The sequence below is a fragment of the Homo sapiens genome, chromosome 11, assembly GCF_000001405.40.
Source record: "Homo sapiens chromosome 11, GRCh38.p14 Primary Assembly".
NCBI classification, from domain to species: Eukaryota; Metazoa; Chordata; class Mammalia; order Primates; family Hominidae; genus Homo; species Homo sapiens.
The window spans coordinates 58,937,837-58,958,912 of NC_000011.10; the positions used below are offsets into that span (position 1 = coordinate 58,937,837).

Below are 21,076 nucleotides of genomic sequence, written 5' to 3' on the forward strand. Positions count from 1 at the left end.
TTGATATGAAAGAAGCATCCCAGAGACCCTTGACACATTGTGAGAGTACACAGAGGGTGGGGCTCCATCAACCTCCCACAGACACTCAGCCATACTATTCCCATTCCCTGCCATGAGCAAGAGTTTCAGGGCCTCACAGGGGTTCAAAGGTGGCCAAATCATTGCCACTCTTTGTAGTATGAAGTACACCAACACGTAAAGGTAGGCTAAACATTGATAATATAATAGCTTTAAATGTGTATAAATGTATGCTTACAACCTCAAAAATGCCATGCAATATTATTGTTCTACTTACAAGATCAGTGCAGGAATTATAAAGCATTAATTCAGAGTGGACTCTTGGCAGTGTGTAATTTATGGTGCATGTGTTCTCCATTCTGTCTGTGTTTCTGTACCATTGGGTGATAACACTAGAATCTCAAATTTGGGAACTTTTTTGAAAGTGGGGCCATGCCTAAATGGTATCCTAGTTGTCTCTTCCACCATGACCCCATGATGGACCTGCAAAGTCCCAAAGATGGAAGAACATTCAGGGGTAGCCAGCTGGAGAGACCTAGAATCAGAGATCTCTCACACAGCCTGAAAAGCCCAAAGCAGATGAGCATAACCTCAGCACCTGTGAAACCAGAATTCATTGCTTCCATTCAGAGATCCCATGTTCATGTCAGAATCCAAGCTGCCACGAGTGTTTCATGAAGTCACTTATGACTAATACTGAGTACAATGGGACTGATATCAGAACTAAGCTAGGCCCGGAGAGCCCTGAGGTTGTGACACATAAGGCTAAACCTTTGAGTTTTGATCCACAGAGTAGATACATCAGAGAAGTGGACTTGGAGAATCCCCTGCTGGAGTCCTAGAGAGTAACCACTCTGTCAGATAGCATGTGTTTCTGAGAGGAAAGCACAGGGGTCTAGTTCCAGCCGTATCCCTCTGCACCCCATATGCACGTGCTGAGTTCTAGAGAGACTCCAGAGCTGGTCTGAAAGGCTGATGCAAAGGAGTCTGCTCTGGAACTGAAGTGTTATAAGAAACTGGCAAGCTCAGCAGCCCTACAGATAGGTGAGGAGCCCAGAGATGGGAGAGGAAGCTATTCTCCTGGCCAAGGTCCTGATTCAGTTTGCCAGAATCATAGGCAGACTTGAGGCCGACTGGAGCTAGCACTGGCAGTGGAATTGAAACCTCCCCTGTAGTCCCATAGAGAATTTTTTTTGTATAAACATAGAAATTGACCCTTCTGATCTTAATGCTTGAAACTTTTATTTGTTTTATATGAATTTCATCCTTAGTAAAGGACCCCTACGTCCCTCAAAAAGTATCAAAGAATTGAAACTCACCAGATGATCCCATCCAGACAATGGGACACCAGACCCCTCATAAATTATGATTGCTTCCTTAGGTCGCCTGAGTTCCTGTTTTTCTACACATTGTTACATTTCTTCACTGCTATGAAAACTCATAATTTTAGTTGATCAGCAAGACGGATTTGAGACCGAGCTTGCATCTCCTCTGCTACAGCATCCAACTCAGCCTTCTTCCTTGGCAATTGGTTATATTGATTGGCTTTCTGTGTGGTGAGCTGCAGGACCTAGACCACACCCCTGGTGTTTCAGTAACAGCTTTTGGTTTCCCGACCAGGAACACTTTGGCTCAGTTGCCATGGGCCAGGAGTCTCACAGAACTACTAAGCAGCTGCTTACCCAATTTTGGCTGGAGAGATAAGTACCCTCTGGGGCCACCACAGCTGGCCCCAACCATGGTCCTGATTGCCTTGGAAGAACTGCCTTTGGAATTTCACATCGGCATCCAGATAGGTGACTGTCCTTTGTGGGCCCAGACAGAAAGATCTGCTCCTCTCAGTTTGGGAAATTTTTAAAGGAATTTCCACTTGCGGGTTGAATAAGCCCAACTGACGAAGAGAGGAAAATACCCTGACTGTTTCAGTATGGACATTCTTGGGGGCTTGTTTGTCATTGTGTGTGTGTCCAGGCAAGTGAGTGTCTTTTGTGGGTACTAGATAGTGGGATCAGCTCCTCTCCATTTGAGAAATTCTGAAGGAATTTTGATTTGCAGGTTGATTGAGCCCAACCAATGGAGAGAGGAATCACCCCAACTGTTTCAGTTTGTAGACTTTTGGGGCTTGTTTGATGCTGCAACAGTTGGATTGTTTTAGTGATTGTTTGCAAGTGTCTGATATAGTCATCAGAAATCAGAATTTAATAAACTGACACTCTTTTGTAACACTGTTTGACCCCAGTATAGTTTGGAATCTGGTATTTGCCCTTGAATGGGAAAGTGGGTTGGAGTTCCATGTATCCAGGCTTTTGTGCTGCTGCTGTTGGGCCAAGTTAGTATGTGATATTCTCCTGTGGTGCTGTTTGACCCCAGTGTTCTTTGGAGTCTGGAGAACTTTGGACTTTAAAAATTAAACTGCCACGGAAACTGTTTTACTGAAAATTTTGGTTCACAGCCTTCACTGGATTACCTATCAAGGCTAACAAAGTTCAGCCATGTGAACATGTTTGCAGACTGATGAGTTTCTATTTCAATAGCTAGAGTTCCAAGGTAAAAGCTATTGGATCTTTGGGTGTATGTATGTCTAGATGTGTCTTTGGGTGTATGTATGTCTAGATGTGTTAATGTGTAGGCATATGTATTACGTTAAATGTTGTGACTACCCAATTGGATTATAAATAAAAGAGTGCTCATAGATTAAGTAAACAAGTCCAAAGTATTTTTCATGTTCATGCTACTTAAGTAAATCTTTAGCAAGCTAGCATTAAAATTTTGTAAAATAAAACTAGAAATGTCATCATAGTTGTCAGCATACATTTTTGTCTGGGTTTTGTATTTGTTTCTGCTAGATATTTTGAGGTATGAGAGTTTGGCACAGAAGTTTATAAAGTTGTCACCAGGAGTTGGAGATAAGCCTGGGAAACAGAGACCCCCTCCCCCATCTCTATAAAATAAAAATTAAACAATTAGCCAAGCACAGTGATTCATGCTTGTAGTTCCAGCTACTCAGGAGACTGAGATTGGAGGATTGCTTGAGCCTGAATGATCAAGGCTTCAGTGAGTCTTGATTCAGCCACTGCACTCCAACCTAGGTGAAAGAGCGAGACCCTGTCAAAAAGACAAATAGAGGCAGAGAATGACAATGGGGCACAGAAGCATTGCAGGGAGACTAGGGGAGGAGTAGTAATTTTTTTTATTATTATTACACTTTAAGTTTTAGGGTACATGTGCACAATGTGCAGGTTAGTTACATATGTATACATGTGCCATGCTGGTGTGCTGCACCCATTAACTCGTCATTTAGCATTAGGTATATCTCCTAATGCTATCCCTCCCCCCTCCCCCCACCCCACAACAGTCCCCAGAGTGTGATGTTCCCCTTCCTGTGTCCACGTGTTCTCATTGTTCAATTCCCATCTATGAGTGAGAACATGCGGTGTTTGGTTTTTTGTCCTTGTGATAGTTTACTGAGAATGATGATTTCTAGTTTCATCCATGTCCCTACAAAGGACATGAACTCGTCATTTTTTATGGCTGCATAGTATTCCATGGTGTATATATGTGCCACATTTTCTTAATCCAGTCTATCATTTCTGGACATTTGGGTTGGTTCCAAGTCTTTGCTATTGTGAATAGTGCCGCAATAAACATACGTGTGCATGTGTCTTTATAGCAGCATGATTTATAGCCATCCCATTACTGGGTATATACCCAAAGGGGAGGAGTAGTAATTTTTAATAGGATGGCCAAAGGAGGCCTTATTGAGCAGGTGGCTTTTAGGTGAAGACTTAAAGAAGGTAATAGAGTTTTTATAGGTCTAATAAGAAAACAGAATGCAGGCAGAAGAAAAAGAACAGCCAAGTGCCTGAAGCAGAGAGGCCAAAGAGAGTGAGGTCTAGGACCTGACTGGACAGATGTCAGGGAGGTGACTGGAGTCTAACTTAGAGAACTGTTATAAACAATTTGTACCTCTTTCTCTAAATGAGATTGGGAGTTGCTGCAGGAGTTGCACAAAGACATGACAAAATCTGGCTTTTGTTTTAAAAGGAGCATCCTCATTTGTTATTGACGGAAGACTAAAGGCATTCTCCATCCAGAAAAGACTGCTAAGAACTGTGAAGCATATAAAAGTTTACCCTACTTGGGGCAATGTTTCATGAATGCTGACAGATAACACAAGCTTTCTGGGTCAAAGACAGAGTTTTATGACTCATTCAACAGGGAGAATGATTTTTGTGTTTGTGTCAGTCATCCTTGCTCCACAAGTCCTACAGAGGAAATACAGAAAGGCAGATTAATGTTGCAAGTGCAACAGATGTGTGTTGAAGCCAAGGAACCCTGAATTTAGGTCACCTGGATGTTTTATAATGAACTGCAAGCAAACCTGTCTGAACTTTGCTCCAGAGGGGGACATTATCTTTCTTATACTGATCAGTAAGCAGACCTACCCTCTGCTTCAGAAGAAAGCAATATCTCTAGCTTCCAAGCTGTCCTCTTTAGAAACATCCTTGAAAAGATAGTCAGGAGAAAAGGCTGTCAATGTCTCTGCTCATAAGACATACAGAAATGTGAGAGGCCATGAAGAATTTTCTCCCAGCCAGAATTAGCAGGATGTCATAATGGATTGGATGTAAAGTGGGAGGGGAAAAGATACTTAAGAATAACTCCAAGAATTTTTCTTTGAACAGGTGAAGAAATGGAGTTGCCATCAACTAAGTTGAGAAAGACTACAGGTGAAGTAGGCTGGGTGGAGAGGGTGGATAAGAAGATTGATTTGAGACATAATGAGTTTGAGATGGCTATTGGAAGGAATCCAAGAGATGTCAAACAGGCCGTTAGATACATATGCCTTGAGTTTGGAAAAAATTTGAGTAGTAATTTAAATGTATTAGTCATTGGCAGGTAGATTGATTTTAAAGCTATGGGACCAGATGGGATCACCGGGAACTCTGAAGTGATCCAAAATTAAGAAACTGGGGAGGAAAGAAGGGTCCACAGAGGAGACTGAGAAAAAGTAGTCAGTAAAGTTAAAGAAAAAACAAGAGAGTGTGTTGTCTTGGAAACCAAGTCCATTAAAGGATGATCTATTAAGATGAGAAGCAATAATTGACCACTGGATTTAATAACACAGAGATCCCTGATGGTTTTAAAAAGTGTTTCAGTAGAATGGTAGCAGCAAAAACCCAATTAGATGAGGTTAGGAGGGGGATTGGAGATAGCATGTATAGACAATCCTTTCAATAAATTTTGCTACAAACTGTTGAAACAAACTAATTACAGCCTGAGAAGGACTCTGTACTTCTTCATTTGAGTCCTTGTGGGTAAACTGTAACGTAGCTTAATCATCAGACAAAATTGAAAACCTAATTTAGTAGTGTGCACCTGTAACAATACTCCAGTGTTGGCCAATCCCAGCAGCCATACTTCAACTACTCATAGACTGCTGAATGTTCAAACTGTGTTCAAATAAGGCAAGCGCCCAGTTGTAACCAATCTCTTTGTTTCTGTACCTGATTTCTGGTTCCTGTACATCACTTTACCTTTTTTGTCTATAAATTCATTTTGACCACGAGGCACCCCCGGAGCCTCGGTGAATCTGCTGTGATTTTGTAGGCTGCCGGATTCACAAATTGTTTGTTGCTTAATGAAACTCCTTTAAGTTTAATTCAGCTGAAGTTTTTCTTTTATCAGATGGTGTCACAAGAAGGATCTGAAGTGGAGCTTCTAGTATCCCCAGGAGCGCGAAGTGAACACGGAAGGTACCTGCAGGATCCAATTGTGTCCATTGATCTCTCAGAGTGGCTGAGGATAATAGGTAAGCTCCCTCTCGCATTTTGGAGCTTCACACGTTGGTGTTTTGAGCTCTCTGAGTTGCTTGGAGCAAATTTCTGATCCAAACTGGGTTTGGAGTCACAACAGGAAACAGACTGGGTCTAGGAACAGATTTGATCTTGGAATTAACTGGCCTGGATCCAGTTAGAGGCCTCTTACATCTCACTGGGTCAGAAAGGAACTGGTAGTAAGCAGTAATGTTGCAGGAGTTATAAAATTTGGCTTTTGAAAATTCACAGGGATTTTTGTGTTCTACCCCTTTGTTTCTTTTCTTTTCTTTTTTTTTTTTGTGCGCCTAGGTAGGAAAAAAATCACTGGCTAAGTTCATCAAGAGAACCTAAGAATAAAGACAATATTTTAGATAAAAATGGGATCCTTAATTTCTGTAAAACTGAGTTCCTTCTGGCTTATACATTAGGACTGTATACCAAGTCTTACAGAAATGGCAAAACATTACTAAAGATACTTAGAGTGGAACATTCCAAATGAACAACAATGCCAATGCATTTAAACAACAATGCCAAGTACATTTATAAATGAGGGCTCTCAGTAAAGTCTCTTTGACTAAAAACAGTTTTGGCACTATTGGATGTCAACTGCTATTCTTTTTGGAATAATCTGCCTTGCACTCTTTGTTGACTGCTGTGGGTGACAGGATGAGGCATGTACAGAATTGTGGTGAATGGGGAGCTTTTTCCTTCTCCCTACAAATAAAGAAACTTGATAGCTGATGGGACTGTGGGGAAAAAAGAAAAAAATATATAGCATTTATTCTGTTTTCATAATTCTCATATTTAACTATGGTTCCATTGCCTTCCATGTTTTTTTCAATCTTGCATAAAAATAAAAACATCTCAATGGTACAAACTAAAATTCTCAAATAAGAAATAAATCACACATACTTTCACCACCCAAAAACAATTTTCATGTTTATTTATTCCCTTCAAGTCCTTGTCCACATGCAAACATAATTTGGGTACATATGTAAAAGTTATATATTTTGATATTTTTACCCATTATTCATTATAATTGCTTTTCTGTAGTCTTCACAGTGACCACTGACTGTGTGCTACTCATATTTACAGACTGTCATTCACAAATTTATAATTTCTCTTTAGTGGACATTAAACTTATTTTCCATATATTATGAAAAATTATTTTAGTTAAGGAATGAAATTCTGATACATAATACAACAGATGTGAACCTTGAAAACATTATGCTAAGTGAAATAAGCCAGACCCAAATGGACCAATATCATCGGATTCCATGATATATGAAGTACCCAGAATAGGCAAATTCCTAGAGAAATAAAGTAAAAGTTATTTTATATACATATATAAAATATATATATTATATATAGGGGTATATATATATATACCCCTAGCCAGGGGCTAGGGAGAGAGGGAATGAGTAATTGTGATTTCATGGGTATAGTTGCCATTTAGGATGACAAAAAGGCTCTGGAAATGGATAAGCACCATGAATGTATACAATACCGCTGCATTGTACGCTTAAAAATGGTTAAACGGTTAGTTTTGTGTTATGTGTCCTTTACAACGATTTTTTTAAAGAAGGTGGGGAGGGGTCTCCCCAGGTTTTTAGCAGCTTCCTGATTTAGAAAAGAAATGTTGATGGTAGGAATACAGGTAGAGAACACTTTTATTTGGGTAGATGTTAGAAGCTGAGGCCAGGGTGGGGTCACAAGAGCAATATTAAGTATGAGGAGAGGCCCTCAACAAAGGTCATTGCAAGGGGATGGAGTAGGGAATGCACAGGAGGGGTATTTTGGACAAAGATTGGCAGCTGATAGGTGTGGGGATTGTTCTCATGTATCAGCCCAGGATATAATGTTCCCAGGGCAAATGGAACACAAGTTTTTTTGCGGGGAGTGATATAGCATGGTAGATCTTGAATTAAAACTTTTAAAATCTTGACCAAAAGCTCAAAGGAGAAGACAATAGTGAAACACATGGGTATGGGCAATTTTAGTTAAATCAGGTGAGAAACAGAGCAAAGAAAGCACTTGGAGATGGGGGGAAGAAAAAGACCATTTTTTTTTTGACAGCTACAAGAACAGCAGAGTCAGACAGGGGATAGGCTCATGTCAGAGATCCAGTTTTATTTACTAAAAGTTCCTTGGGTATTCAAACATTCTGAAATTATGAGATCTTGCAAAAGGATGCCTTTGTTTAAACATTGCTTCATCTAGCTACAGAACATAGTTTAACTTTGAGGCCTTTGACCCCAGACAAGATAAAATATGTTTCACCTTGCCTATTACTTAACACATATTTGTTAACTATTTTAACTTCATGGATAAAAAATTTCAAAAATCTGTGTTAACTGATTTGCAAATGATTGTTTCAAATATCTGATTCGTGGGTTCCTTCTCTTACATTAATTTTGTTGTAAGTTCTTCACATTTTTAATTATTTTTACATCATTGAATATAATTGCTAAATCTCTATATGACATGTTGATTAATATGAAGTCAATTAAAAAAACTAACATATATTAAAACTTGTTCTTACTTTATTCCAGGCATAATGCTATGCATTTTATACATATTACATTGTGTAATCTCAATCCTTTGGAAAACATGCATTCTAATTTCCAGTTCCAAAGTTGTGAGAAAACACTTTGAGGTTCTGATTGGTTAAGCAACTTAACAAAGAAGTATGAGATGGAACTAAAATTTGAAATCAGCCTAAGCTTTGAACCTATCAGTTGTGATGATCACCTTCTCCAAGTTATTGTTAAATTATTGGCACATTTCTAAGAATTCTGAATGATATTTCAACAAAAGTTTACAGATATGTGTTAAAATTTTTCTATCTGTTTTTAATTTTTGTAATGAAACTGGGATAAGTTCCAAAATGGCCGTAGGTTTGAAATATTTGGCCCTGAGAAACTAAAGAAAATCTATGCCTACTCCTGCTCCAAGTTTTTTAGTCATACCTGTTCTTAGAGGGCTGATATTTTCTATTGCAGATGAAAGAAGAATTCTCAGGCATATAATGACCAAAATACAGGAAAAAACTTATGATGGTAGTGGTGGAGTGTTCTGTTACAGGCATTTGGGAAGCTCACAGAACTCTTAATATTCACTTTTAATTCTTTCCACAAGGGAGGAAGGGCATGGGTTTTGGAGACAGTCATATATGGTTTCAAAATCTGACTCTGGCATTTATCTCTAAGAACTTGAGAAATTTACTTAGTCCCTCTGAGATTTGGTGTATTCAGAATGAATATGATACTAACAGTACCTACATCACGAGTGTTACTTGAATGGAGATGTATAAAGTGCATTTTAAATTCATTTGTTTCCTTAACATTTTCCCTTCATTTCTTATCTTTTCAGAGTTTCTTCTTCAAGGTCTCAAGGTCTGAAGCATCCCACAGAATGATCCTACTGAATAACTCCCATAAGCTGCTGGCCCTATACAAATCCTTGGCCAGGAGCATCCCTGAGTCCCTGAAGGTCAGGGAACAGTGGGAGGTCAGGGTATGGGAGTAGGGGTGTTGAGGATGAGAAAATAGCAGGCTTGTGATTCTAGTCCTTCCTGACTGTTTGCAGAGGGTTGGAGCTGGGAAACAGGATGGGACTGGGGGCACAGGCTGCATATCAAGAGCTGCTGCTTCTCTTTGGGAAGAGGCAGCTAGGTCCACTCTGCAGGTTTTGCCACTCATTTGGAGAGGCAGTGGAGCATGGTGGCTACGAACATGGTTTGGAGCCTGTCTGAATGGATATGCATTCCAAGGCTGCCATTTTCTAGTCAGATGGCTTTGTGGATGTTTCTTTCCCTTTCTCTGACTTTACGTTTGGTTTTTCCATCAATGAGATGGGAATAACGTTAGCACCTACCGCTTAAAGTTGCTATGGACACTGAATAAATCTATACAATATAAATGCTAAGAGCATTGCCAAGTGCCCAGCTAGTACACAGTAGCTCTTTGGTATCACAAGGACAGTCCTACCTGTGAGTTCTGCCTGCTTGCTGGTAACTTCACGTCCATCAGTATGGTCCTCTCCAGGACCATACTGCTCATCTCACCATCACTGACTTGGTCTCAGTACCTTCTCTTAATCTCCATTTTTCTCTTCCTCTTCACAACCAGATCCTCATCTCTGGGGATCTCAACCTCTCCTGGTCCCTTTCATCCCTCCTTCAGGTGTATGGCTCTGTGTATCACATCAATCACGGGAACCCCTTCAACATGGAGGTGCTGGTGGATTCCTGGCCTGAATATCAGATGGTTATTATCCGGCCTCAAAAGCAGGTAGGCACACAGACAGGGACTGGTGGAGCCAGGCAGGTCCACAGGGCCTGAGGAACTGACCAGTTCAGACACCATGGCTGCTTTTATAGGGTGAAAGGAAACGTGAGTATTTTAAAACACTCCTTCAGTACTGGGCACCTTGCATGAGTGCCACGTGTTCCCACCCTTCGTGTAAAGCATAGGACCCTTCTGGGAAAGGGGGTGGAGGAGGAAAGGGAGGAAAAGGACAAGGCTGACACTCACAGATTAAGGGCCCTATGAGGTGGCAGGGGTCACCTGCAGGGGCTGAAAGGAGGCCAATTTACAGGGAAAGTTGGGTGTCTGAGATATTAGAACAGTGGCTTAGAAACAGAAACCAAGGCATAAGTCTACCAGTAAAATTACCTCTCAGGGCCAGGCATGGTGTCTTCTACCTGTAATCCCAGCATTTTGGGAGGCCAAGGCAGGAGGATCACTTGAGTCCAGGAGTTTGAGACCAGCCTGTACAACATAGTGAGACCTCATCTCTACAGAAAATAAACAAAATTAGCAGGGCATGGTGGTGCATGTTTATACTCCTAGCTACTCAGGAGGCTGAGGTGGGAGGATGGCTTGAGCCCCAGAAGGTCGAGGTTGCATTGAGCCAAGATCACACCACTGTACTGAAGCCTGGGCAACAGAGTGAGACCCTGTTGTTTTTGTTTTGTTTTTCAAAAAAAAAAGTTACTTCTTAGGAACCAGGGAAGGGACTCATAATTACTGTGTGTCAACTGTGTGGAAGCACTTCTCTCGTTAGTGAATGTTATCATCAGAACAATCTTATGAAGTGAGCATTAATATCTCCAATTTACAGATAAGGAAACAACATTGAGAAATATTAAGTCATGTAGCGGCTGGATTCCTGATGTTAAAGCATTGCCCAGTCTGAATTCAAGTGCAGTGGACTCTACCACTTTTACTAGCTATATAACCATAGGCACTTCTGTGAGTTTCATCATCCGTTAAAATGGGGAAAATAAGAGGATCTTCTTCAGAGGATTACACAAGGTTTAAATGAGATACTGTATGTTAAACACTTAGTACATAGCACATAACTGTAAATAGTGTTTACAATAATTAGCCATTATTGGCTGAGGACACACAAGGAATAAATGATGGAGCTGAAATGGTAATACAAACCTAGGTGTATTTTTTTCCTAAATACTTCCCCTTTGTGTTTGTGTGTTTCATACACATCTGGTTAGTAAACTGAAGCCTCATTGCCAGCCCAACTTCATGTAGGTGTAAACGCTGAGCCCCCAAATAATAATAAGCCACACCAGGTCAAGACTAGTTTGCAAACTGGGTCAGGATTCGGATGCAGAAAGTGACAAAGTGACCCTAGCTTGAGGAACAAAGGGGTAAAGGGGATGGGAACCAGGCTGAGCCTAACACCTTCCTCAGGGATGTTCTTTTGATCTCCTGGCTTCCTGACAATTTGGGATCAAAGATTAATGTTTAGTTTATTTAATCAATGGTCCAATTTCTTCAAAGTGTGGTATGCTAGATAACTGTAGGAAGTCAAATAGTTCCTTTTACTTCAGTAACTTTGTAGTTATTATATGTATTTTAGCAACGTAACTATAGCATCAAGCCATACCTTCATGTATGCATTGCTTTGAACAAAGTTAGTTTTTACAGTGAGTCAATAAACAAAAATATGAAAATATAAAAGTCCCACACCACACATATAAGACCAAAAAAAAAACAAAAAGGAAAGAATGAAATACGCTGCAATTTACTTGGAAGTGCATTCACCTAGTCTGATTCCATAGCATACCATGTTTCTTTCAGTATTGAAAGTCAATCTGATTTTGAATAAGAGCTTTTCAGGGTGGGATGCAGGAGAATTTATCTAGAAAAAAATTAATTTTTTCATTGTTGATTTTTAATCACAAAGATAATCTATGTTGATTATACAAGTAAAAAAATCCAACATGATTTTAAAAAGTTAATAACCTCTTACCTCCCCTCCCCTCCTCTCCTCCTTTCCTACCCCTTGGTTGTAATCAGTGTCCTTGCCCATATTAATACACAGAAGGAATCCCAGCACTTTGGGAGGCCGAGGCAGGCGGATCACGAGGTCAGGAGATCGAGACCACGGTGAAACCCTGTCTCTACTAAAAATACAAAAAAAAAAAAAAAAAAAAAAAAAAAATTAGCCGGGCGTGGTGGCGGGCGCCTGTAGTCCCAACTACTTGGGAGGCTGAGGCCGGAGAATGGCGTGAAACCGGGAGGCGGAGCTTGCAGTGAGCTGAGATCCCGCCGCTGCACTCCAGCCTTGGGCGACGGAGCGAGACTCCGTCTAAAAAAAAAAAAACAAAAAAATAAACAGAGGGATATTCACTGATGATCTCTTTTGTCATCACTCTTAATTTGCCTTTAACATATGGACATCACTTTGGGTGAATCAATACAGCACTAAAGTATTCGTTTTAATAACTGCGGCATTTCATAGAGTCAATGCAATGCTATTTAGTCAATCATTCTCCTGCTGTTGGGTTCAAACTGTTCATACTTCTTTGCCACTACAAACAAGCTTCAATAAACATCTTCATATACATATCTTTATATCCTGGAAATTTTTCTCAGTACAACTGATTTCCAAAAGGAATATCTGCAAGTTACAGTTTATCTTATTCTAAGCAGGCAATGCCAAATTACCTTCCCAAAGGATTCCACAATTTTATTTTTATTAGCAATGTATGGAAGAATTGTTTCCCCACATTCTCACGAGCACTGAATATTATCCCTCTTTTAATTTATCCCAAACTGGTGGGTGAAAAATGGCATCTTATTGTGGATTTAATTTGCATTTCCCTGACTAGCGATATTGAACATATTATATTTTCATGTTTCTCGGTCATTTGGTGTTTACTTTTGACCTGTTTATATTCTTTGACCACTTTTACACTGGGGTTTTGTGTCATTCTTAAAATTTTGTAAGTGTTTTGGAAACTAGGGATACTAAAAAAAGGTGTATGCTACAAATTTGTTGCCCAATTTATAATTATTTTCTATTTTATTGATGGAGATTTTGACATTAAGAAATTTTTTATTTTCATGTAATCAAATATATTATCTTTTTCACTATGACTTCTGAGGTTTTGGGTTTTTTTAGTTAATAATTAGGAAGATTTTTGCTACTCGAAGATCATACAACTGTTTTCTCATTTTGTCTTACAGTGAGTTAATTGTTACTTTTGACATTGCAAACTTCATTCTATTTGGAATATATTTTTGAATAGCATGAATTAACATTCTTTTATATTAATCTTCCTTATGGCTGGCTAATTATGTTAGTACCATTTCTTAAATAAGTCATTCCCTACTGAAATATAAATGTCTATTTTGTCGTATAACATGTTATATATTTTTGTATCTGTTTCTGTATTTTTTCTAGTCTTTTCTCATGCTATTTCATTGTTTCTGTGGTAAATTTTAATATCTAATAAAGCAAATCACCCTTCACCAATCTTTTTTTACTTTCCTATTTCTTATAAACTTAATAGCTATATGAACATAAACTAATTCTTCCAGTTCCCCACCAACTATCCCAAATAACTATTCGAGTTGTGATTGGTATTGGAGGACCATTTTTCGACAATTTTGGAAGAATTAATATTTTTGTGACACTAAATTTTTTCATCAAGAAATATGGTCTTTTTCTCACTTTTTTTCAGTTTGCATTCTATGCCATCTGGTAAAATGTTAGTGTTTTCCTGTGATAAACTAAGTGATTTTTCCATTAAGTTTACCCTTAGGTATTTTATACTATTTGTTAAGATTATTAAATTATTTTCCTGTTATATTTCTGAGCATTATTATTTTGTTATTGCTTTGTGTTTGTAGTCTTGATTTCCAAATATGTCCCACTGTTGTTTAAAATCCTGTTTGTGTGGGGCATTATTTGTTTTGTTTTTTTGTCGAAGTCTCTTGGATTTTCTAAATGTGTAATACTGTAATCTACAAACAAAGTAATTTGCTGCTGCTTTGCCAGTATTTGTATGGGTTTTTAGTTTCTTGCATTATTGCATAATATGCAACCTAAGGAAACAATTCCAACTAATAATAGTTCTATACTTGTCTCATCCCTGATTTTAAATAGCTATAAAAGCTTACATTTGGAATTACATTTGATTCTGTATTTGCAGGTTTAGAGCATTTTCCTGTTGCTCCTACTTTCATAGAACTTATATTTAGAATGGAGGGTAAATTTTATGTTATTTAATTTTTGTCTTTTCTATTTGGCAATTTATACACTCATGTAATTTTTTTCTCCTCTAATTTATTACACTAAAAGACCTTCCAATCAAAGCCATCCTGGCCTTTCTAAAACCAACTGTTCATATTCACATTTTTTGTATATGCTACTGAATATTTTATTCATAATTTTTGTATCTGCATGCATAAGGGAATGTTGTCATAACTCTCTTTTTGTTATTTCCTTACCAGATTTGGCATTAGGATCTTTTCATCTGTTACCAAAGTCTACTATTAAAATCATGTGTTTGTTTTTGGCTTATGTAGAATTTAAATGTAAAATAATCTGATTTTGGCTACATTTTATTTTTTAATTTCAACATTCTTTTTAAATACGGGGGTACATGTGCAGATTTGTTACATGGGAAGATTGCATGATGCTGATTCTTGGAGTATGGACAGATTCCATCATCCTGGTAGTGAGCATAGTACCCAATAGGTAGTTTTCTAACCCAGCCCCTTTTACTCCACCCTCTGGTAGTCCACACTGTCTATTGTTCCTACATTTATGCCCATGTGTGGTCAATGCTTAGCTCCCAGTTATGAGTGAGAGCATGTGATATTTGATTTTCTGTTACAGCAGTAATTTGCTTAGGATTATTGCACTGTGGAAAGTAGTCTGGAAATTTCTTACAGAAATTAAAACAGAGTTGCCATCCGATCCAGCAATGTCTTTACTAGGTAAATACCCAAAAGAAAATGAATCATTCTACCAACATGACACATGCACTTGTATGTTCATTGCTACACAGTTCACAATAGCAAAGACAGGGAATCAACCCAGGTGATCATCAAAGGTAGACTGGATAAAAAAAACTTGATACATATATTTTTATGGAATACTACACAGCAATAGAAAATAATAAAATCATGTCCTTTGTAGCAACATGGCTGAAGCTGGAGGCCATAACTCTTGTCTACTTTTTAAAAGGTAGATGTTTAATTTCATTTCTGATATTTTCTATTAGTTTGTTCAGGATTTCTATTTTTTTGCAAGTCAATATTGATAGTTTATTCTTGAGGGATAACATCCATTTCTTTTATCAGTAAATATCTTGCCTTGGAGTAGTATGTAGTCTTCTATTAGAAGTCTTTTGTTCTTTTCTCTGTTTCTTCTGTTTCTGTTCTCATAGCTTACAGTCTGTTTTTTTTTTTTTTTTGCTTTTTTCTCTTTCTCTTGTATTTCTTTTAATAAATGCCTTACCAGAAGTTTATCTCTCTCTTTCTTCTTCTCTCTCTGTTTTTGCCATTTAAAAATGAACTTTTGGCTTTATATATCCTTTGCACTATGTCTTGTTCTCCATTTCATTATTTATAGCTTTCATTTTTACAAATTGTTCCATTTGTTATTTTCTAGTTTACTTTGATATTCTTTTATATATTTCCTTGACTATTTACTTGGCTATTTTTGGTCATTCTTTTAAAATCAGGTCTTTTAAAACATCTACTCTTCTAAATTCACTGACGTTTTGGGTTTGACCATATTCAGGAACTTGCATTTATAAAAGCACCCTGAAATTCTTGAAGGTTTCTTTAAATTAATTACACTATTTTCTCTTTAACTCTTTAGCAATACAATTTCCAACATAATATTAATACATTCACTGCTAAAACGCTCACACTTATTGTTTATATTTTCCCAGAGAAACATCCTCATCTTCCAATGAAGTTTCTGTCATGCCAGAATGGGATCACGAGTCTCTTTCTTTCAAACCCAAGAGTCTAACACCACATAAATTACCCAGAGAGCTACCAAAAAATTCAGTTACATCATTCTATTTTGTGGGCTTCTGGGTGTAAAGCCAGTGTCACTTTTCAAATAGGCTGATATCCTGTAGGCTTGAGAAAAGGCAAGGTCTCGTTAGTGTTTATATTCACTAAAGTATCTTGCTCAAGCCCTGGACACCGTAGATTCTAGGACACTATTGACTCTAGGTGTCTGGTGAAACAGTAGGCACTAAAAATTAGAGAAATCACAGTTAAATTTATTTTGAGCCAAGTTTAAGGACTTAACTCTTAACAACACAAACTCAGTACAACCCAGAATGTGTCCCACAGTAGGTTACCTGGGGCACAGTATATATAACAGGAGTATCCGTTTGGCACAGGTGGTAAGAGAAGCAGGGAGAGAAGCAATTGTTGCATTTTTTTATTCTGCTGGGTGCTTGGTGATGCTATATATAAAATAGGGTATGTGTGCAGTTGAGTGGGTAGGGAGAAAGGTGAGGCATCTTAAGGCCTGGTGGAGGGTGACTGATTTCATCCTGTCTTAGTTCTGCATGTGATAAGGAGGTTTATAACCAATACTTGTCAGTGTTAAATATTTAACAAACTCCAGTTACACAGGTAAGAGGTCAGCGGTAGCTTATAGGCCTAGGTTTTATTATCGATGTGCCCAACTGCAGCCATCATGGGCCACTGTTAAAATTTTCTTTTGAACTTTCATTTTTCTGATAATTGCAACCAGTGAGAGGTGAAGAAAAAGTTCAAGGGAATGACCTGATCTTATATCATCCAATACAGGAGATGACTGATGACATGGATTCATACACAAACGTATATCGTATGTTCTCCAAAGAGCCTCAAAAATCAGAAGAAGTTTTGAAAAATTGTGAGATCGTAAACTGGAAACAGAGACTCCAAATCCAAGGTAACGAGTCTGAAGAAATGGGCAAGCAGCTGTGCTTCTCAAATTGTGTCTTCAACTAACAGCATTAGCATCACCTGAGGGCTCATTAGAAATGTAAATTCACAGAAACTCTGGGGACTGGGAGAGGTGGAGCAATCTGTGGTGTGACAAGGACTCCATCTGACTGTGGTGTAAACTCAAGTTTGAGAACTACTAAGCACTGAGGTATTAATCAGGTGGGAGCAGTGTAAGTAGAGAACTCCATGTCTGACAAGATTGCTTTCTTGGCTTTCTTCCCAGGTCTTCAAGAAAGTTTAGGTGAGGGGATAAGAGTGGCTACATTTTCAAAGTCAGTGAAAGTAGAGCATTCGAGAGCACTCCTCTTGGTTACGGAAGATATTCTGAAGCTCAATGCCTCCAGTAAAAGCAAGCTTGGAAGCTGGGCTGAGACAGGCCACCCAGATGATGAATTTGAAAGGTACAAAAACATGTGCTGATCATTTATAATTGCGATTCCTTGTACATTTTTGTAATTCACATAAATCAGTTTTGGAATGAAGAGAGGATGAATTCATTCCTTGGGATGAATAAAGGTTGTCAAAGTTCAAGATCCAAAACTTTGCAATGGTGAGTCTTTAAACAAGAAGAGTTCCTGGGATCTCTAGATTGGGATGGCACCTAGAAATTACAGGATTGGGGATGAAAGTTGTTGTCTTTCTTTTTGTTGTCTACAGTGAAACTCCCAACTTTAAGTATGCCCAGCTGGATGTCTCTTATTCTGGGCTGGTAAATGACAACTGGAAGCGAGGGAAGAATGAGAGGAGCCTGCATTACATCAAGCGCTGCATAGAAGACCTGCCAGCAGCCTGTATGCTCGGCCCAGAGGGAGTCCCGGTCTCATGGGTAACCATGGACCCTTCTTGTGAAGTAGGAATGGCCTACAGCATGGAAAAATACCGAAGGACAGGCAACATGGCACGAGTGATGGTGCGATACATGAAATATCTGCGTCAGAAGAATATTCCATTTTACATCTCTGTGTTGGAAGAAAATGAAGACTCCCGCAGATTTGTGGGGCAGTTTGGTTTCTTTGAGGCCTCCTGTGAGTGGCACCAATGGACTTGCTACCCACAGAATCTAGTTCCATTTTAGACAATGAAGCTGCTTAGTAATCTCTGCCAAGCCATCTCTTAATATTAAAGCAGACACCACAGAATAGATTTCTTCACTTACAAATGCATATTGGGCACTTATAATACAGCAGGAACTCTTCTCACCTGGAGCCTTGATGTTAAAAGACACAGCCATGCTCTTGAGGAGCTTACAATCCTGGCTGGAGGCAGGGGAGGGTATATTCTTTAAATATGCTTAAGTGTTATAGGGAAAGACGGGGTTACCAGTAAACATGTAACTAGAAAGCCAGGCTCAGTTCTTACCTCTGGGAATCAGAACTCTTTATGCAACTTGGTTAATAGAATCTACTATCTGGAAGATAAATGAAGGATTTTAATAAAATTTTCAATAGAATAAACCTAATCTGTATGGATACTTTATCAAAAATGAATGTCCCTGCTATTTCTGGATTTATGAGGCAATGGTACACTAAAGAATGGAATCAGTTCAGTGAGTAGAAAGGTATCCAAGGTGAAGCCTGAGACGAATGGCTTTCCCAGGCTACCTTCCATCACTGTTGTACAGAAAAGAAATCCAGAGAATCAAATGGACTGGCCTTGGGGGTCTCTGCTATGGAAATGCCATTTTTTGTGTCTCCTTTCTCCTACTCTTTCTCACATCCTCTTCATGATTGAAGCATGGCACAAGGCAAGGTGTTGCCTGCGAGTCTGGTTGTAAGTTCAGCCTTTGGTGTTTGCACTACTGCTATCATAAGGGGTCAGGGACATTCCGGGGAGAAGTGACCACTAAGGTGAGGATTAGAGAGTGAGTAGAAGTGAGCCAGACAAAAAAAGCAGAAAATGCAGATGATGGAAAGGACATGTGCCATGCACTATCATAAGAACTTCCTAACTGAACACTGATACTACAATTCTGAATCCCTGATCTTAAAAAATAATTATACTTCACCAACAAAACTTGGCCTCTTTTGGTTCCACTCTGCCACCCTGCCATTGGAACTTGGATTACTGTGAACATTGCAGCTATAGCAAAATAAAAAATAAAAAAAATAAATAATTGGCATTTTCATTCTTTCTGATAGTCTAGATTTGAAGCAGAAAAGATACTTTAATAGAATTGGCTTTGGAAGTAAAGTCTGCCAGTATTAAGAAACACCTATTTTCATCTCTCCATAAAAAACAAAACTTCCACAAAATTGAATGTTTATATTTGATGCGATTTTAAAGTGTGCAATTCCAGCAATTAAAGAATTGTGTAGGTCATGGAGCATTTTTAAAAAACTTCATCTTAGAAGGCTGTGGTAGATCTGTTACCGCTTAGTATGAATCAATCCAATCAGATTTCTAAACTCCTAAGACCTGGCTGATTTGTTACATTGACTGAAATGAAAGCATGGTCTGAGAAAGAGAGGAAACATGTCATTTGGGATTTCAAAGGTTGGAACATTCTTACATAAAAAATAAACTCGGGAACTTGGGGTAATATGAAAACAGCTATATTTTTCACTCAAGATGCAAAAGCTAATAAAGATGATGAAAGAAGACAAAGCAAATAAAATTTGCCTATTTCAAAATGGTGCCTCGGGCAGGTCCTGTATCCAGAAGAGGATGCTCATCCAGGGTCTGTAAGCTCAGGTCATCTTAGCTCAGCCCAGCTGGCAGCTTCCCTCCTCTGCCCCTTCCCTGAATGCAAGCCAGCTTCCCTTATCTAGCCCTTCATGGTCCTGTTACGATAGTGATTCCCAAACCTTATCATCCACTTGGATTAAAAAAACACAAGAAAGCATGGGAAAGAGGAAGGAGGATTTCTTAAATATGGCAAAAATAAGTCCAAAATTATCAGTAAACACAATACAGATGAATGGGGTAATTTTTTTATTAAAACATATGTTTTTCATATTGAGTTAAAAACAAAGTCCAAGAAGCATGCATTAATCTGCTCTGGCTGCCATAACAAAGTTTCATACACTGAGTAGCTTACACAACAGAAATTGATTTCTCACTCGTTTGGAAACCGGGAAGGGATATGACAAGGTTCTGGCGAGGTAGGTTTCATTCTCAGTCCTCCTCTCTCAGCTTGTTGATGGCTGCTCTCTCTCTGTGCCCTCACATGGTGTAGAGGAGGGCTCAGACTCTCTTCCTTTTCTTAGAAGGACTTAGTGTCATCATGGGGGCTCCACCCTCATGACGTCATCTAAACTCAATTACGTCTGAAAGGCCCACCTCCAAATACATTTGGAGTTGGGACTTCAACATATGAATTTGGGGATCACAGTCAGTACATAAGAAAGCACATCTGAAATAAAAACACAAAGGCTAAAAGAAAGGAAAAAGATATACTAAATGATTTTGAAACTGAAAAAGCAAAGTAATAACATCAATACTAAGCAAAACAGAACTTAAGACGAAAATCTGCTAAATACAGAATTCTCCCACAAGATAAGTCATGAATCTTCCTCACAACACAACTACAAAATACATATGGCAAAAGCTGACATACAAAAAGAAATAGGCAAATCCACAGTCTCAGTAGGAGAACTCAAAATACTTCCCTCAGAAAGCAACAGATGATGCCGATAACAAAGACAACTTGACAAAATGCCATCACAAGTTGATATTTCTGGTGATGTTGGGGTTATCTGCTTACTGTGTATTTGAGAACTTCTGTTCATCTGTTTGTCAAACTGACCAGCAGGGGGTGCTGGGGAGGGAAACACTCCACAGGGAGGGTGGGGAAAGTTCTCTAAGTCTAGAGGCTCCTGGTCCCCCCATGATCATCATCTATCAGGGGCAAGCACTGCTGATACAGGAGCTAAAAAAATCAATTATTTAGGCAGTTAGTGTGGGTAAGGGAGTCGTTGGTAAGGTTTTCCTTTTAATAAAAAAGCAGCCCCCATCTAATTT

The 21,076-nt window shown here is 38.8% G+C and overlaps 1 protein-coding gene and 1 long non-coding RNA gene across 19 annotated transcripts in view; one reads left to right on the plus strand and one right to left on the minus strand.

Annotated features, from left to right (window-relative positions):
* The window catches only part of GLYATL1 (glycine-N-acyltransferase like 1), a 50,926-nt gene extending 32,356 nt beyond the window's left edge, over positions 1-18,570 (plus strand). For 3 of the 18 annotated variants that reach the window (NM_001354699.4, NM_001389714.2, NM_001389711.2), the window contains 6 exons: positions 5,707-5,830; positions 9,210-9,329; positions 10,022-10,129; positions 16,934-17,060; positions 17,340-17,517; positions 17,774-18,570. In NM_001354699.4, coding sequence (NP_001341628.1) covers positions 9,252-9,329; positions 10,022-10,129; positions 16,934-17,060; positions 17,340-17,517; positions 17,774-18,191 — 909 coding nt within the window. In that variant the 5' untranslated portion in view covers positions 5,707-5,830; positions 9,210-9,251 and the 3' untranslated portion in view covers positions 18,192-18,570. Of the gene's footprint in view, positions 1-1,651; positions 1,815-2,322; positions 2,566-4,703; positions 4,749-5,412; positions 5,487-5,706; positions 5,831-9,209; positions 9,330-10,021; positions 10,130-16,933; positions 17,061-17,339; positions 17,518-17,773 lie in introns of those variants that run through there. The other 15 variants (NM_001389717.2, NM_001220494.4, NM_001389713.2 and 12 more) reach the window with 14 other exon arrangements.
* Positions 1-21,076, minus strand: part of GLYATL1-AS1 (GLYATL1 antisense RNA 1) — a 124,810-nt gene that overhangs the window by 4,194 nt on the left and 99,540 nt on the right. The gene's annotated exons all lie outside the window — the stretch shown is intronic.